The 16,813-nt window shown below is 43.0% G+C and overlaps 1 protein-coding gene and 1 pseudogene across 3 annotated transcripts in view, besides 2 other annotated features; one reads left to right on the top strand and one right to left on the bottom strand.

Moving 5' to 3' along the window:
* The window catches only part of ATXN7L1 (ataxin 7 like 1), a 271,828-nt gene that overhangs the window by 214,482 nt on the left and 40,533 nt on the right, over positions 1-16,813 (bottom strand). The gene's annotated exons all lie outside the window — the stretch shown is intronic.
* On the top strand, positions 217-874 carry RPL13AP16 (ribosomal protein L13a pseudogene 16; annotated as a pseudogene).
* Positions 10,697-11,896: an enhancer, noted in NCBI's record as "P300/CBP strongly-dependent group 1 enhancer chr7:105470396-105471595 (GRCh37/hg19 assembly coordinates)". NCBI's record gives its function as "activates an origin of replication core promoter dependent on BRD2, BRD4, P300/CBP, MED14 and CDK7 cofactors, with strong dependence on P300/CBP, by STARR-seq in HCT116 cells {active_cell/tissue: HCT116}" and the evidence as "EXISTENCE:reporter gene assay evidence [ECO:0000049][PMID:35650434]".
* Positions 11,170-11,464: an enhancer, noted in NCBI's record as "tiled region #14333; HepG2 Activating DNase unmatched - State 8:EnhW". NCBI's record gives its function as "activates a minimal TATA promoter and a strong SV40 promoter by Sharpr-MPRA in HepG2 cells {active_cell/tissue: HepG2}" and the evidence as "EXISTENCE:reporter gene assay evidence [ECO:0000049][PMID:27701403]".

A 16,813-nucleotide genomic window follows, 5' to 3' on the forward strand; every position in this document is an offset into this window, starting at 1 on the left:
GGAGGGGTTCACAAATGGCATCTTGGTAACCCTTCAAAGAGTGATAGCCTCATACGAGTTTGTACATTTGTTTTATGAAGCTTTCTGTATCTGGGTTGGCTATTAAAAAAAAATCTGTATATGCTGGATATTTAACAATAAAAAATTTAAAATTAGAGCAAAGCAAAATGCATTAACTTGTATTTGGGATTTAAAAAAAAAAAAAAAAAGAGTGTCCTTTCCCAGGGGGCTGCTGAAGATGGCGGAGGGGCAGGTCCTGGTGCTTGATGGTCGAGGCCATCTCCTGGGCCGCCTGGCGGCCATCGTGGCTAAGTAGGTACTGCTGGGCCGGAAGGTGGAGGTCGTACGCTGTGAGGGCATCATCATTTCTGGCCATTTCTACAGATACAAGTTGAAGTACCTGGTCTTCCTCCGCAAGCAGATGAACACCAACCCTTCCCGAGGCCCCTACCACTTCCGGGCCTCTAGCCGCACCTTCCGGCTGACCTCGAGGCATGTTGCCCCACAAGACAAAGCAAGGCCGGGCCGCCCTGGAGCGCCTCAAGGTGTTTGACGGCATCCCACCGCCCTATGACATGAAAAAGCGGATGGTGGTTCCTGCTGCCCTCAAGGTCATGCATCTGAAGCCTACAAGAAACTTTGCCTACGTGGGGCGCCTGGCTCACGAGGTTTGCTGTAAGTACCTGGCAGTGGCATCTACCCTGAAGGAGAAGAGGAAGGAGAAAGCCAAGATCCACTATCGGAAGAAGAAACAGCTCATGAGGCTATGGAAACCGGGTGAAAAGAACGTGGAGAAGAAAACTGACAAATACACAGAAGCTCTCAAGACCCATGGACTCCTGATCTGAGCCCAGTAAAGACTGTTTATTCCTCAAAAAAAAAAAAAAAAAAAAAAAAAAAAAGCGTGGGCCTCATTCAGATGTCCTTCACCCCATCTGTTCCTGATGCCTGTAGGTCACAGCAATAGAAGCAAAGCCTTTCAAACTAATATTCAAGAAAATCATCAAAGTGTACCTATCACCAGCAAGTCATATATTGGCTTAATATTCATACTGGGGTATAGATGACTGATAGCTTAGTGACTTTCTAGAGCGCAAGGCTTTTTGGAAGGAGTGAAGAGTGAGCACTGTGGGATGGGTATGAGGTGAGGAACATGCTGGGCAGTGGGGTGAAGGTATTAAAGTTGGAGCAAGACCTCCAAGGCTCACCAGTCCCTTGATGAGGCTGCAGCTTGGCTAGACAGAGAGCTGTGGTTCTCAGCACAACAAAGCTCGGCCATGTAGCTGCCTTCTGTGGGGCTAATGCTTTCTTACTTGCACTCCAGTTTCCAGTAAAAGGGCAGGGTTGGGTTTTTTTAAATTGCAAATTTCCCTCCATGTCCTTGGAAGACTCAGTTATAATAAACCAACAGATCACCTTGATATGGTTTGGATGTGTGTCCCCTCCAAATCTCATGTTGAAATGTGATTCCCAATGTTGAAGGTGGGCCCTATTAAGAGGTGATGAGATCATGGGGGTGGATCCCTCATGAATGGTTTAGCACCATCGCCTTGGTGATAAGTGAGTTATCACTCAGTTCATGTGAGATCTGGTTGTTTAAAAGTCTGGGACCTACCCTCCACCCCCTTGCTCCCACGCTCACCATGTGACATGCCTGTTCCTGCTTTGGCTTCAGCCATGATTGTAATCTTCTTGAGGCTTTTACCAGATGCCGAGCAGGTGTTGGTGCCATGCTTCCTGTACAGCCTGCAGAACTGTAAGCCAATGAAACCTCTGTTTTTTTGTTGCTGTTGTTTGTTTTTTCAGACGGAGTTTTGCTCTTGTTGCCCAGGCTGGAGTGCGATGGCGTGATCTCTGTTCAATGCAACCTCTGCCTCCCGGGTTCAAGCGATTCTCCTGCCTCAGCCTCCTGAGTAGCTGGGATTACAGGCATGTGCCACCACACCTGGCTAATTTTGTATTTTTAGTAGAGATGGGGTTTCTCCATGTTGGTCAGGCTGGTCTTGAACTCCCAACCTCAGGTGATCCACCTGCCTCAGCCTCCCAAAGTGCTGCGATTACAGGCGTGAGCCACCACGCCTGGCTGAAACCTCTGTTTTTATAAATTATCAAGTCTCAGTTATTCCTTTATAGTCATGCAAAAAAACTGACTAACACACACCTGCTGCTGCTGCTTTAAGATCCTGTGCAGTGAGTCTGGGTTTCTAACCTCAGGAGAGTGGCTAGCAAAGGAGATCGCTAGTCTCCTTCCAGTTTTGTCCTGTTGAATGGCGTAGAAGATTGATTGTATGGGTATCAGAGAGAGGAGTCACTAACAAAGATGAAAATATAGAACTCATTTGATAGGTGGAAGAGTAGGGTGGTTTCAGGTATAGGTTTTGGAGACAGAGCAATCTGAATTTGATTGTGGCTCCGCCATGATTGTGAGCAAGCTACTTAACCTCTCTCACTTTCAGTTTCTTTAACTGCAAAATGGAAATGGAAACAGTGAGGATTAAATGGGATCACACGTGGCACACCTTGCACAGGCTTGCATAAAGCAAGTGCGCAGTACAGTTAACTGTGATTGTTGCTCCTGTGCTCACAACACTTCCATTAACTGGTGCTTGGAACATCTTATTTTCCCTTTGCATAATTAATCCTCTACTTTGGTTGACGCCAGAAATGCAGTTTTGCTATACGGTGACATTGCACATACTCCAAGTGTGTAAGCCCCAGACACCTTTCAGTGACACTGCTGTAGGGCTTAGTGACTTGCCACCAGGCAGCTCACATAATTGTCTTGCTGAGGTCATAGAGCCCTTCCCTATACTTCAGCTGGACACACTGAAATTCTTCAAGTCTTAGGAACAACATTGCTGCTTCTCAACATTAGATTTACTTTCTCAAAATCCATAATGTCAGCTGGGCACAGTGGCACACAGCTGTAGCTCCAGCTACTTGGGAGGCTGACGTGGGAGGATTGCTTGAGTCCAGGAGTTTAAGGCAGCGTAGGCAACACAGCAAGACCCTGTCTCCAAAAATAAATCCATAACATCTATAGTGTGGAAAACATAACACCCTTGGAGCTGTAGGGAGAAAGGTGCTCTCCTGTGAATGGGGAGGATGGTACTGACTAGCTGCAGAATTTGGGCTTGAGTTGCTTTGTGGTTTTGTCTCTCTTTTTAAGTAAGGATGAGAGACTTTCACTGTTTCATTTGTCCACCTTCATATCATTACTTCTTATGACCTGCAGGAAGGATATCTGGGGTGGTGGAATAAACTCAGGGAGAAGTTATTGGCTGGGGCATGGAGGTGGCTAACTGGTCACACAATTGAGTTTGCATGTTGCTGAGCGCCTTGCAGTTTATAAAACACCTACAGAGCTCATTTCATCCTCAAAGCCACCCTATGAGAAAGCCAGGGAAATTGTAGTATTTTTATTATCACTTTACAAATGAGGAAACTGAGGCTTAGAATTAAGTAGCTTGCCCAGTATCTCATAGCTAAGCAATGGTGGATGGTATGACCAAGTCCTCATTTCCATTCTCCCAGTGAGTTGTTTCTAAGTGAGCTTTATATGCCCAAGATGATCTATTAGGATGGGGAAACATATTAAAACTTCTAATTCTAGTTATTTTTAGCTTGCCCTTTTAACTTTTAAATTTTGTTTCATAGTATCACTAATGTATTAGACTAGTATGCGCATGTAATTTATAATTAAATACACATACTCTTGGGTTCCAGCTCCAAAAATTTTTACTGATAAGGGTGCATGATTAAAATAGCTTGAAAGCCACAGCTCTAAGCTAGTAAGAGTCTTAGTAATACTGGAGATTAATACATCCTCTGGCCCTTTATCTTTTTTTTTTTTTATATTATTAGTTACTTTTGGTCAGGAACTTTGATTGGTCTGTATTCTTCAGATTAAACCACAACCTTGTGAAGTGGTAATCCTGATTTTCTAGAGTAGCAGAAGGTGTTTTCTATCTCCTACAAAGTCGAAGGCTGACATGAATCATCTTTTGTTGTAAAAGGCTATTCCGGTGCTTTGCAAACTTGATGGCTCCCAGCTCATACAGCAGAGGCAACCCCATTTCCAGTATCATTTGTGATCACTTACAAACAGCAAGGGTTCAAGTAAGCATATGGGTTCACAGGTGTCTGCACATTGGTTCTTGAATCGTAACAGGCCCAAGCTTCTCTTTACAGGTTTATGTTGCTAGACTTGCTACTCTGTGGCATTCAAGAGCATGGTACTTCCAATAAACACTATATTGGAAGTTTTAAGAAGGAAGGAATTATTGTCTGATTTGTTCACTTCTCCATCCCCAGCAGTGCCTTGAACCCACTTGGTTCCACTATCTGTTGATTGGCTGAATGAATGGTGGATTAATGGTTACTCCTCAATTTTATCTTTTCTCTTGACCAAGACACCCCTAAAATGATGGTAAAGAAGTGAAAAAGAGTGCAAAGACAATGGAAATGGGAGATATCAGCAAACAAGCACATGTTTTTGGAAGACAGGTGAGGAGTGATTGCTGACTGGGCAGAGTGGAGGAAACAGTGATCTATGTGTCTACAGAAAGGTGTTTGGATGCAAAGTGAGTATATCCGCCTGGGATATAACCCTTGGGAGGCCTGGGAGCTGAAGGCACTGTGTACTTCAGATGGCAGGGGTAATGTGAGGGGAGACTGCTTGAGAGTCTGAAGGTTTGTTTACTGGAGAAATGGGTTAGAAGAGGATCCAGACCAGGGGACAGGAGGCATGGTGAAGGGATGGGGTGATGGGCAGGCTAAACAGAGTGGATGGACTGAGGGTGGCCACTCTCATGGCGTGATGCCCTTGGGCCTCTGCCTCCATCTGCTCTTAGAGCACCCTCCAGGCAGGAAAGGGGATAATTCATCTCTGAAAAAACAGAGAGGAATTCTTCTAAGAAAATGCCTCCATATGCTGGCAACTGAAAATTCTCCAAAGAAATGATGAGTTCGCAATGTAATCCCCCTTTACAATGGGCCACCAGTAAAAAGCTCCACTAAAACACCCTGAACCTCCAAGCCGCTTGTAGTGCCTCACTCTTAAATATGAATGGCCAAGAATCACCAGACATTTAAAGACAGCACCCACCTGAAAGAGACTGAGACACAATAACCAGGAATAGAGGAATATAGAAGCTCCACAATGAGTAGAAGAGAACTTCAAAAACACTTATTAATGTCCTCAGAGAGAGAAACCAAAACCAGGATGCAACGGTAAGAAAAAAAGCAGAAAACAATCAAGAGCTCTTGGAAATTAAAAATATGATAGGTGACATAAAAATTTTACTAGAAGGCTTACAAGAGCCTTCAAAAAAGAAAACAAAAGCAAACAGAAAGTAGAAACTGATAGAGTTTTAGAATCCATAAGGTCCAATATCTGACAAAAGGAATTCTAGAAAGAGAGAACCAAGTGAATGGGGAGGAAGAAATTAAACAAAACAAAACAAACCACCACCAGTAAAAGAACGTTTTCCAGAATTGAAGAATATGCATTTCCAAATTAAAAGGGCCCACCAGTGGAGTGCCCAACCCAAAGAAAGAAAAAAAGACCTCCATGGGTGTGAACCTGGTAGGCAGGGCTTGCAGTGAGCTGAGAGCTGAGATCACGCCACTACACTCCAGCCTGGGCGACAGAGTGAGATTCCGTCTCAAAAAAAAAAAAACAAAAAAATAAAAAAAACAAAAAAACCTCCATGGCATATTATTAAGTAATTTCAGATCAACAGTGTTACAGAGAAGATCCTAAAAGCTTTCAGAGAACGAAAGTGGTCTCACACAAGACTGGCATCTCATATTAAGAGTGACACTAGAGCCAGAGGACAATACGAAAATGTCTTTAAAATCCCGAGAGAAAATTACTTCCAACTTTGAATGTTCTGTAGCCACCAAATTACTAATCAAGTCTGAGGACAGATCCAAGACATTTCCATATTTTGAAGACTCGAAAAATTTACCTTTCATGTAGGATGCCCCTGGAAGATTAGTCCTAGCAAAAGAGGGAGTAAATTGAGCAGGACGAAGACAGGCTTCCAGTCAGTGGACTTCCCAAGACAATGAAGAGGGAAGCTGTTGTCACAGACCAGCAGCACAGTAGGCTGAGGGGCTAATGGGCTCCAGAAAATACAGGGGAATTGATGGGTTTATTCAGTATGTCTGACCAGCTGGGCCAAAAATAGTGACAGGATATACCCAATCTAGTGGCCAAAATTAAGGATAAACATATAGGTAAGAATGCAAGTAAAAACCATGAGGCAATAATTTTAGGACAAGCAAAAACCTACATACGAGAGGAAGTGGAATTGCCAATATTGCCTAATATTGGTAGACAAAGACAGACTCAATAAGCATGTTTTTAAGACACAAGGAAATAAATACTCCTTGGCTCTGTAAGTGAACAGTATAGATGCCTCTCACTATCCAAACACTTAGCCTTCATCTTTTAGAAGGGAACAGATTTGGATACTTTTCTGGAATCTGTTCCTCATCATTTGAAATTCCACTACTCACATCTGAAACCCAGAAACCAAATAAATTTGGATGTACAGTGTCTCTCATTTTCTGAGCTTGTTATCTGACTTAGAAACTGGATAGATTCAGATACTTGATATTTACAAGCTTGATGTAACCACATACCTTCACTGAGAATGGAGAAGCCATAGGGAAGGGATGGAGGAAGGAAAGGGGGTGGAGATGTGTGACAGCCAAACCCTCCGGTATGTGATGGAAGGTTCCGAGATCCTAAATACCTAAAACCAATAAATGAAGAAGTACTCATATATATACCCTTTATAGAGATATGGAGTAAATACTAGAAGAAACAGCTAAAAGAGTGAAAAGTGGTTGCCTCTAGGGAGACAGGACTAGCAGTGGGTAGAGACAGGGCAAGGGACTGCTATTGAATTAAGTTTTTAGTACAACTTGGCTTTTAAACTGTACATATATTACTTTGGGGGAAAAAAGCACATAAAAAGTTTAATAAGAACACTAGCCTGGAGAACTGGGTTCTGGCTCAATGTCTGTCACCAGCCAACTGTGTTTGGTTGAGCAAGACACTTTGATCTCAGGTCTCAGTTGCTTCATCTATAAAACAAGGAGTTGGAGTCCTTCCCAACTGTCCAATTCTATGACTGCATGGTTCTAATGTGCAAATTTGGGTTCTCTGCCAATGTTGGTGGTATCATCCAAACTTGAATTACTGGACTGTAATATTATTTAGCACTGTGCTAAGAAAATAGCATTTTATTACATAGACATATACCTAAAAAATGGAGACATTTGGAAAAATGTGCAATAAGGGAGTCTTGTGATTTGCCAGACACAGAGGAATGTAAATTGTGACTATTTTGCAGAAGAATGCAATATGGAAGAAAACACAGGATCGTCAAAGAAGATAAAACAACATGGCCACCAAGAAAAAAACAAAGCAATAATAATCAAATAGACAAGGAGGGTTAGACCCAGACCAGGTCTAAATGAGAAGGAGGCTGGACAGTGGAGAAATAGGACCTTCCCATGGTTTTTATACAGGTGAACAGAGAAGTCTGAATGGTAGATGATTTTGGCAAAAGCTTGAGACTGGGGATGAAAAATGATGAGAAAGATAGTAGCTGTAATATTTTACAAGAGACTTACAAATATTTTACCTTTGGGATATAGAAGGAAGAGCTGATACGGTTTGCCATCGAGGACAAAGGTATGAAAAAGACACAAGACAGCAGGGACCACCTGAACTACAGGTGTCCAGGAAGCACAACATCTCAGAGTAAGGCCACCTTGGATTCCACTCCAACCTGTGTTTAATGTATGCAGAACGGAAGGCGAGGTTGAAAAGGAAAGGATGGGGACTCTGTCTTTGCTGGCATAAGCAAGCTCTGGGTCAAGAATACAGAAGAAAATCTGACAGTCAAAGTGGCATCCATATTTGCTGAAACTGACTTCTCTTGTTGGATTTGGAGCCTCTTTCCAAAACAAACAGCAAACTTCCTTTAGATCCAGGCAGTAAAATTCATTTTTATATCATTCATTAAACATTTAAACCATTCACTTAAAAAGAGAACAAACATTTTTACTGTGGTAAAATAAACCACTCATTCTCATGGACACAGTACTCTTTTATGTCTTTAGGAGAATAATAGCAAATGTTTATTGAGTATTCACAGTTCAGAGACCATTCTAAGAGCTTTATGCAAAATATAGTTGACCCTTGAACACCATGGGTTTGAATTGCGTGGGTTCACTTATATACCAAAGTTTTTCAACCAAATGAGGTTGAAAATACAGTATTTGTGAGACATGAAACTCGCCTGCACAGAAGGCTGACTTTTCATATATTCGGGTTCCGCAAGGCCGACTGAGGGATGTGAGTAAGCATGGATTTGGTATACCCAGGGGTCCTGGAAGCAATTCTCCGTGTACACTAAGGATGACTGTATCTTGTTTAATTTTTTCAACAACCCTATGAAGTAGCTACTATAGATCCACAATCCCTTATCCAAAGCTCTTGGGCTTAGTGGTTTTCCCAAATTGAATTTATCAGGTTTTAGTAAGGTCATATGGTGTACATTATATAACACCCCAGCAGTCGGGCTGCATCCTATAATCAGAAACACTAATATTTCTGCAGTGAAACATAGGAATAATCACACTAATTTGGATAAAGTGCATAATAAATAGTCATATGTCAGTTCAGGGCAGACTTTGATGCCAAATGAGTGTGCCTCAAATTTAGGGGAAAAAAAACAACTTTGTTTTCAGAGTGCTTGAAATGCACTCTTCAGAAATACAGATCAGAATTTTTATCCCTATTTGATAGATGAGAAAACCAAGGCACAAAAAAAAATTACATAACTTGCCCCAAGGGTCAGGGATTGACCCAGGCAGTGTGGCCCCAAACCTAGGTTCTTAACTGCCCTTGCCATATTGCTTCCTTGTATGTGGCTCACAGTTTAGGATTGGGGTTTAGAGGGCATAAATTACATTTTTACCGCACAAGTAGTTAAGGAACATGGTATTCAGAACCAAGCAGAGTCCTGCTGATATGGAAGACAGCCAGGTGACATCAATGCTTCCCATCCCTGAAGGACAGGGAGAATGACCTGGAGGAAGCCCAAGGCGTGGAGTTGTCCATAGAAGATCTTGAACCAGAAAGGCTCCAGGCACACACAGCATCTTGGAAAGGGGCTGTGCTTGCTTTTAATCCCATGGGATGAGGAAAATACAACAAAGTCCCAGATAAACCAGGTAAATATGGTCAGGGAGACAGGTGAATATGAATGTAAGAACTGAGGAGGCAACAAAGAGAAATAATGACTACTCTTTATCAAACACATACTCTATGCCAACTACTGTACTAAGCACTTTGTAAGCAATATCATGTTTTTTCCATGCAAAAAGTTTCTGAGGGAGAAACCATTATTATTCTCATTTTATAGAAGAAGAGGCTGAAGCTAAATGCACACAGTCCACAGTTTGTTGGAGGCAGAGCTTAAGGGGAAGAAAGAACTGGTGGGAGAAAAAGTACAGGGTTTGGAAGCTAGAAAATTCACTGAGGGAGATGAGAGCTGTGAGCACTGACAATTTCTAAAGAAGCAATACATGGACTCCACCGGCAAGGGTATTCATGGCTTATGCAATGAGAGCTATTTTCTATGAAGATACTTCTCAAATTATGTCTTCATGGGATAATGCCTTTGACAGGGTAAATGAAAAGCAAGTTTAAATACTAGATAAGCAGTCTTATTTGCTTTTTCACTAGGGAAGATAAGCAAATATGTAGCTCCCAATCTCCAACTTGGAGAAGGCAATCAATACATTTGACAGGCTGCCTGCTCAGTCCTCAAATAGTGAAGTGAAAAAACAGCCATTTCTGGGCCAGGCGCTGTGGCTCACGCCTGTAATCCCAGCACTTTGGGAGGCTGAGGCGGGTGGATCACTTGAGGTCAGGAGTTCGAGACCAGCCTGGCCAATATGGTGAAACGCCATCTCTACTAAAAATACAAACAAAACAAAACAAAACAAAAAAATTAGCTGGGCGTGGCGGCGTACACCTGTAGTCCCAGCTACGCGGGAGGCTGAGGCAGGAGAATCACTTGAACCTGGGAAGTGGAGGTTGCAATGAGCCGAGATCAGGCCATTGCACTCATTGCACTCCAGCCTGGGTAACAGAGTGAGACTTTGTCTTAAAAAACAAACAAACAACAACAACAACAAAAAACCAGCCATTTCCCACTCAGAGAGAAAGCTCCTATGGGCCAGCATGGAGGAAGGAGGGGAAATACTGGGGCAATTTTATGGTGATTTACTTAACGTAATTAACAGCTACAAAACACCCACAAATATACACTCATTGAGAAGATCCACACTACTGCCAGGGTCCCCATCTTCAACGTAACCAAAATCATAGATTTCAGCATGCATTATCAAAATGCATTTACTAAAGTAAGGCTACTTCCAAAGACAGAGGAGAAAATATAAAACTTCCTTTTCAAACTGGCCAAAGACAGAGTATTGTTTACATTCCAAGCAAAATCACAAGCACTTAACAACTGGATGTTACTACGACCTTACAGGGACCTTCTCTGGAAAGAAGAGGTTGAAAAGAAAACAGTAGTTGTTGCAAACTGTGCAAATCAGGTTTTCTAAAACATTCCCTGCAGGAAAGCTGTTGTGGGGCTCAAAGCTTACCCTTTGGGGGCAAGCCTTCTAAGTAGGCAGTAATAAGAAGCCTCCTTGTCACTGGGGACACACGAAGTGGCTCACTCAAAGCTAATAGTGGTAGATGTTACCCCATCCCCCGACAGCCCCATTTTAAAGATGAGGACAAGAAGGCCCTGGGAGGCTCAGTTATTTATCCTACTAGGTCACGACAAGTATAGGAGGTAGATCCAGAAATGACCTGGGGGTCTGTCCCTATAACTGGAGCCTCTATGGCAGAGCTGGAAGAGGGGCTGGAGTCTTTATTTCACTTCATCCCACTCTTCAACTTGAGCAGGGGTTCCATGTTTATCTGTTTTACTGACTCGGCTTTGCCTTAAGATTTTCTTTGGAAAATGATTCTATCCTTCAAACAACAACATCAACAACAAAGACAACGGTTTTGAAAACCACTGCCCCATACCTGTGACTAGAAGAGTTGTTTAATTCCCCCTCCCACCCAGCCCTGCCCCATGGCGGGTGTGGGGTATGGCCATTGATGACTGTGGAAGAGGATAAGATGTCACTGTGTAGGAAATGTTATACATACCTAACGTGTGATTTGGCAGTGGAAGATAACATCTGAGTCATCAAGCAGCCCCACATCAAAACAGTAAATCAAAAGCAAATGATGTGGGAAAACAAATTCCTGTATTCTTACAGAGCCTGTGTTGGGAGGATTCCCATCCCAGGGCTCTTAACCCATAAATCAACAAATCTCTCTCTTCTCTAAGAGGCAGCTAGAACCAACATTCCTGCTTCCACTTCTGTGCCAGGAAAGGGAGATTAGGACAGTGCCTGCTATGCCATGTCAGGTCCAGTGGCCTTCCATGGGACCTGCACTTCCTGGGACTGCACTTCCTGGGACCCCAGCTGCAAAGAGTGTTTCACTTCTGCAGAGCAGTAAGCATTTGAAAAGGCAGGGTTCACAGAGCTGTCCTATTGAGACTTTAGAGACATCTTCAAGTCCAGTGCTTCTCAATCTACGTCCACAGGAGCCTGGGATACCTTGGAAGTATCTCAGTTCATTCTGGGGGCATCTGCCCCTTCTTCAACCACAACAGTTCCTCTTTTTGCGTTTTATACAGAGGGCTCTGTGTAAAGTTTGGATAAAGAATGAGGTGCTCCAGTCCACCTTTACCGTAGATGGGGTGACTGGGGCCTAGAGAGCAAAAGTAAGTTGTGCAGTGTACACACTTGTTGGTGACCAAGCTCCACCCTGCCTGACCAATGCATGCCCTTTATGCTACCCTGGTTACATGAAGAATTCTACTTCAAAATAGCTGTATAAATGCAAATGCCATGTAGTCTCTTCACTGTAGCGAGAAAGGCTGAAAGCACATTAGGCTCATTCAGGAGGTCTCCTAAATTGCTCTGGGAAAACCCTGGGAGATTTAAAATGCCTAGAAAGCAATTTGTTGTAACAGCGCTTCCAAATTTCCAATTTCCAACTCTGTGGGCTGAGCTGGGCAACAGGTGGACAAAATCATTACATAAGGAACATCTGCTGACACCCACTATAAAAAGGTCGTGGCCGAGGAACTATGAAAAGTGCTCTGGGATGCTTTTTGTTAAATATGGCAGGTTGATAAACTATGTCTATCTCTACTCTCTCCTGAAGCCCCACAAAAAATGACAGTAAATTTAATTTTAAAAAGCGTAAACTACCAGAACAATGTGATAGTCCTACAATATAGGAGATGAGAGTAGACCCAAGATGCCAGTAAAATTCTGGATGCTGCTGCAGAGCAGTTGGATAAATGGTAAATGACTTAGCTGAACACAGTTAGTGGGTGGGGTGAAGTGGGGGGCATTGACATGGGCTGATTTTAGCCCCCAAAGCCCAGAAAGGCTACCCTTGAGAACAGGGATGTGGGGTGGGCTAGGCATGGGAAGCTTGGTGGGAACTCTGTATAACCTTCTACCCTGGTATCCTTTGCTTCTTCTCTGCAAAAGACTGAAGAAATCAGAGTTGTTTAAGAAAGGACATGTAATAATAGTATGGCAGGTCATTCAGCTGTGAGTAATACTCACATGATCATAATAATATAAGCCCCTAATGCTGATTTAGTGAGAAATGGCCATGTGACTATATTGGAAGGCTGCATGGAAAAGGGGTGTGCAGTGGGGAGGGCCTATTGAAGAAATAAGCCCTCACTTTTCATGGTGGCAAGTTAGTAGATAATATAAAGCTTTTAAGAATCTTGAGATGGCAGGAAAACCCAGTTACTTGACATTATAGAAGTAAACAGAAAAGAACAGTGAAAAATTTTTTCAAAGTATTTGCATTTGGGGAGTAGAAATTGAGAATAGGGAGGGGATTGCTAATTTTCTGCAATTCGGAAACTCAAGAGCTCTGAAACCAAGTTTTACCTAATTTGGTGACTAAACTGCCTTCATAACAACACCTGACCTGAACTAATGTGAGGCTATTTCTAGTCTTTATTAATCTGTTTAAGTGTGAAGATTACGATTTGCTACAGAAATACCTTATGTGTTTGATGACAGGTGACGCCCCAGACCTCAGTGAGTGTAAATCGATTACTTTTCCAAAGTCTGAATAATTCTGAATTCGAAAACACACCTGCCCCCAAGGGCATTGCAGATGCCCCTGCACCTTCTGTGCACCAACAACTTGGAGTAGTTCTGGCCTCTTCCCTTCCTCCAGTGCTCACCCAGCCACTGCCTGCCTGACTTCTCCACGGAAAGCTTTGAAAGGTGAAGTTTCCACTTTGCATTCAACATGTCCAGAACGGAACTACTGATTTCTCTCCTCCCCAGAGCCTGCTTCTTACACAAGTCTGCCCATCGTAGTTATACCACCATCATTCACCCAGTTGCTTAGACAAAGAATCTAAGAATCTTCCTTGACGCCTCTCTTGCCCACATCCCACCTTTAATCCTTCAGGAAGTAGAGCCAGCTCTACCTTCACAGCTGCTAACCACATCCATTACTATCCCAGCACAAGCCTCCCTTTCTGACTTCCGTGCTTCTACCTTTACCCCAGAAGAGCAGATTCTCCACAGAGCAGAGCTTTTAAAAACAGAAATCAGACCATGTCTCTCCTGATTAAAACCCTCTAATGGCTTCTCACCACACCAGGATAAAGTCCTTACTCCTCACATCACCTGCAAAGCCCTGTATGGCTTGGCTTCTGCCTCCCCCTCTGACCTCCCACCCTATCATGTTCCCCTTCCTGCCTCAGGGTCCTTGGATCTGCTGGTCCCCAGGTCCCCTAGACTCTCCTGACCCTCACTGGCTGTTTCCTCAGATCATTCAGTCTCCCTTGACCACCCACAGCCCCTCACTCACTATCTCCCTGCTGCATTATCTTTTGTTCACTCATCTTGCCCCTACTAGATCGTAGGTGCCGTAAAGGCAGGGAATTCTGCAGTCCTGTTAACCCCTGGAGCCCCTGTATTTAGGGCAGAGCCTGGCACACGCTACATGATAAATGAATACCCATTAAATAAAAGAGCAAATAGATGTACTCACACCATTTAGAACGTAAAGAATACAGCGAAGAAAATAAAATCAGCCTTGGAATCCATTGCACAGATATAGACATATACAAATAAATATGTGTGCTTAGTAGTAAAAATAATTGGTAATGTTCTATATCTTAATAGGGATTTTGGTTTCATGAGAGTATCCATTTGTCAAAACTCAGAGAAAGTATAGTTAACATTTGTACATTTCACTGTATGTAGTTTTTTCCTCAAAACAAAAAACCAAATAGTTAACACTAGTTAATGATATGCATGCTGGAGTATCAAGGGGAAAGCATGCTGATGCCTGAAATTTACTTTAAAATGCATTTAAAAATCAGATGCATTATTGGATGAAGAAGAGGGGGTATAGATGATAAAACAAATATAATAAAATGGTAATGATACAGCCAGTGGTAGTTATAAGGAAGATTTCACTGCAAAATTCTTTCAACTATGCTATGTGTTGAATATTTTTATAATAAAATGTTGGGAAAAATTAATTCGGATATTGATTACAGTCAGTATTCAACATGGTTTACTGAATATTTTATGGTATTTTCCCATGTCATCATTGTCTTTGTTTTGTTTATTATTTATTTATTTTTGAGACAAAGTCTCACTCTATTGCCCAGGCTGGAGTGCAGTGGTATGATCTCAGCTCACCGCAAACTCTGCCTCCTAGGTTCAAGCAATTCTCCTGCCTCAGCCTCCCAAGTAGCTGGGATCACAGGCATGTGCCACCACGCCTGGCTAATTTTGTATTTTTAGTAGAGACAGAGTTTCACCATGTTGCCCAGGCTGGTCTTGAACTCCTGACCTCAGGTGATCCACCTGCCTTGGCCTCCCAAAGTGCTGGGATTACATACGTGAGCCACCACGCCTGGCCTCATCATTGACTTTGAAAGCTTGGCTTCACCCAGCTGTATAGTATGCCACTGAATGGATATATCACAAATTACTTAACCAGTCTCCTATCTTTGGAACTATGGGCCACCTTCAATTTTACACTTTTATCAACAACAGAGTAATGAAAATCCTTGTATATAAATCTGTGTGCCTAATGTTTGCCTACTCAGTTTATGTGCCCAGAAATGCAATACTAAGGTCAAACGTCATAACATTTTAGGATCCTGATACGCACACCTACCTTGCTGAAGGGTGCTATTCTGATGGGTATATTCTTATTTTCTGATGAGTCTGTAAGTTTCTTGAGAGAGAGCAACTGCTTTGCTCTGCCTCCCTCACTGGGCTGAGCGTACTGCCACACACACTGTAGGCTTGCAGAAAAACAACTTCAATAACGTTCAGAGAACATGACTAGAACGAATCCTGCCACACTGCTGAGAACGGGGAGAGGTACTCTTCTTTACAGGAAATTTGAGGCTGCCTTTTTGTGATGGAGTGGAGGGGAGAGGGCTGCAGACGAAACGCAATCTAGCAGCCAAAACCAGGGTCTTTCAGATGCCTACTGGGAATCCAGGGCCAGTTTTTCCCAGGGCTAAAAGTGGTCTCTGGGACTCACTGAATGGGTTTTGGTTGAACCAAAACAATGGAATCCTCTTGACCCTTAAACAGAATGAGGTCAAGCTGCATGAATGCTGGGGGAGAGGCAGGGTGCAGGAGGGGCTTCACTTTCTGTGCTCCATGCCCCTGTGGAAGCTGTTTTTTTTTTTTAATAATTTATAAGTGTGTGGTTTTTTTTTTTTTTTTTTTTTTTGAGAAAGGGTCTCACTCTGTCACCTGGGCTAAAGTGCAGTGGTGCAATCATGGCTCACTGTAACCTCTGCATCCCGGGCTCAGGTGATCCTCCCACCTCAGCCTCCTGAGAAGCTGGGACTACAGGCGCATGCCACCATGATAGGCTCATTTTTGTATTTTTTGTAGAGATGGATTCTAGCCATGTTGCCCAGGCTGGTCTTGAACTCCTGGGCTCAAGGGACCTGCCCACCTCAGCCTCCCAAAGTGTTGGGATTACAGGCGTGAGCCAGTGTCCAGCCTTAATTGTATAATTAAAAAAAAAAAAAGTTTCCGGAGGTAAGGGGCCCAAGTTGGTGGGTTGACTCTTTCAGACCACGCACTTGAAATCAGCATGTGAGTCTTTCAGCCTGAACTCCAGTAGACCAGCATTTCCATTTCAGAGCTCAGCGGAGACGGACTCCTCACTTCACACACTGGTCTTAGTCCAAAAGTTCATTTGTAAGTTGTGGTTTGGAGCTTGGAACATATTTCCCTATACAATGGAGACAGTTTCTCTTCTGGCCAACAAGAGCTTTTCTGACCCTTCATAAAACCAAAATAAATCCCATTTTCTTAAAGGATAGAAAAACCCTATTAACAGAAATACTGAAGGGACTTTCACAACACTGGTGACAGAGGCAGAAATTTTTCTAAAAAAGAAACTTTCTTGGGAAGTTTGGCTAGTGGCACCCTTCTCTCTCTCTCTCTTTTTTTCAAGAGGAAGAATACCAAGGGAAAAAAACCCTCAGAACTTTCTGAGGAAACCAGCTAAGGGATAAAATGTGAGAGGGTAAAGAAGTCTTCAGAAACTGTGAGAACAAGCTTGCTCTGAGGTGAAATGTCCAATTTATCCAGGGAAGAAGCAGCTGGCACG

This window comes from Homo sapiens, chromosome 7 (assembly GCF_000001405.40).
Source record: "Homo sapiens chromosome 7, GRCh38.p14 Primary Assembly".
Taxonomy (NCBI): Eukaryota; Metazoa; Chordata; class Mammalia; order Primates; family Hominidae; genus Homo; species Homo sapiens.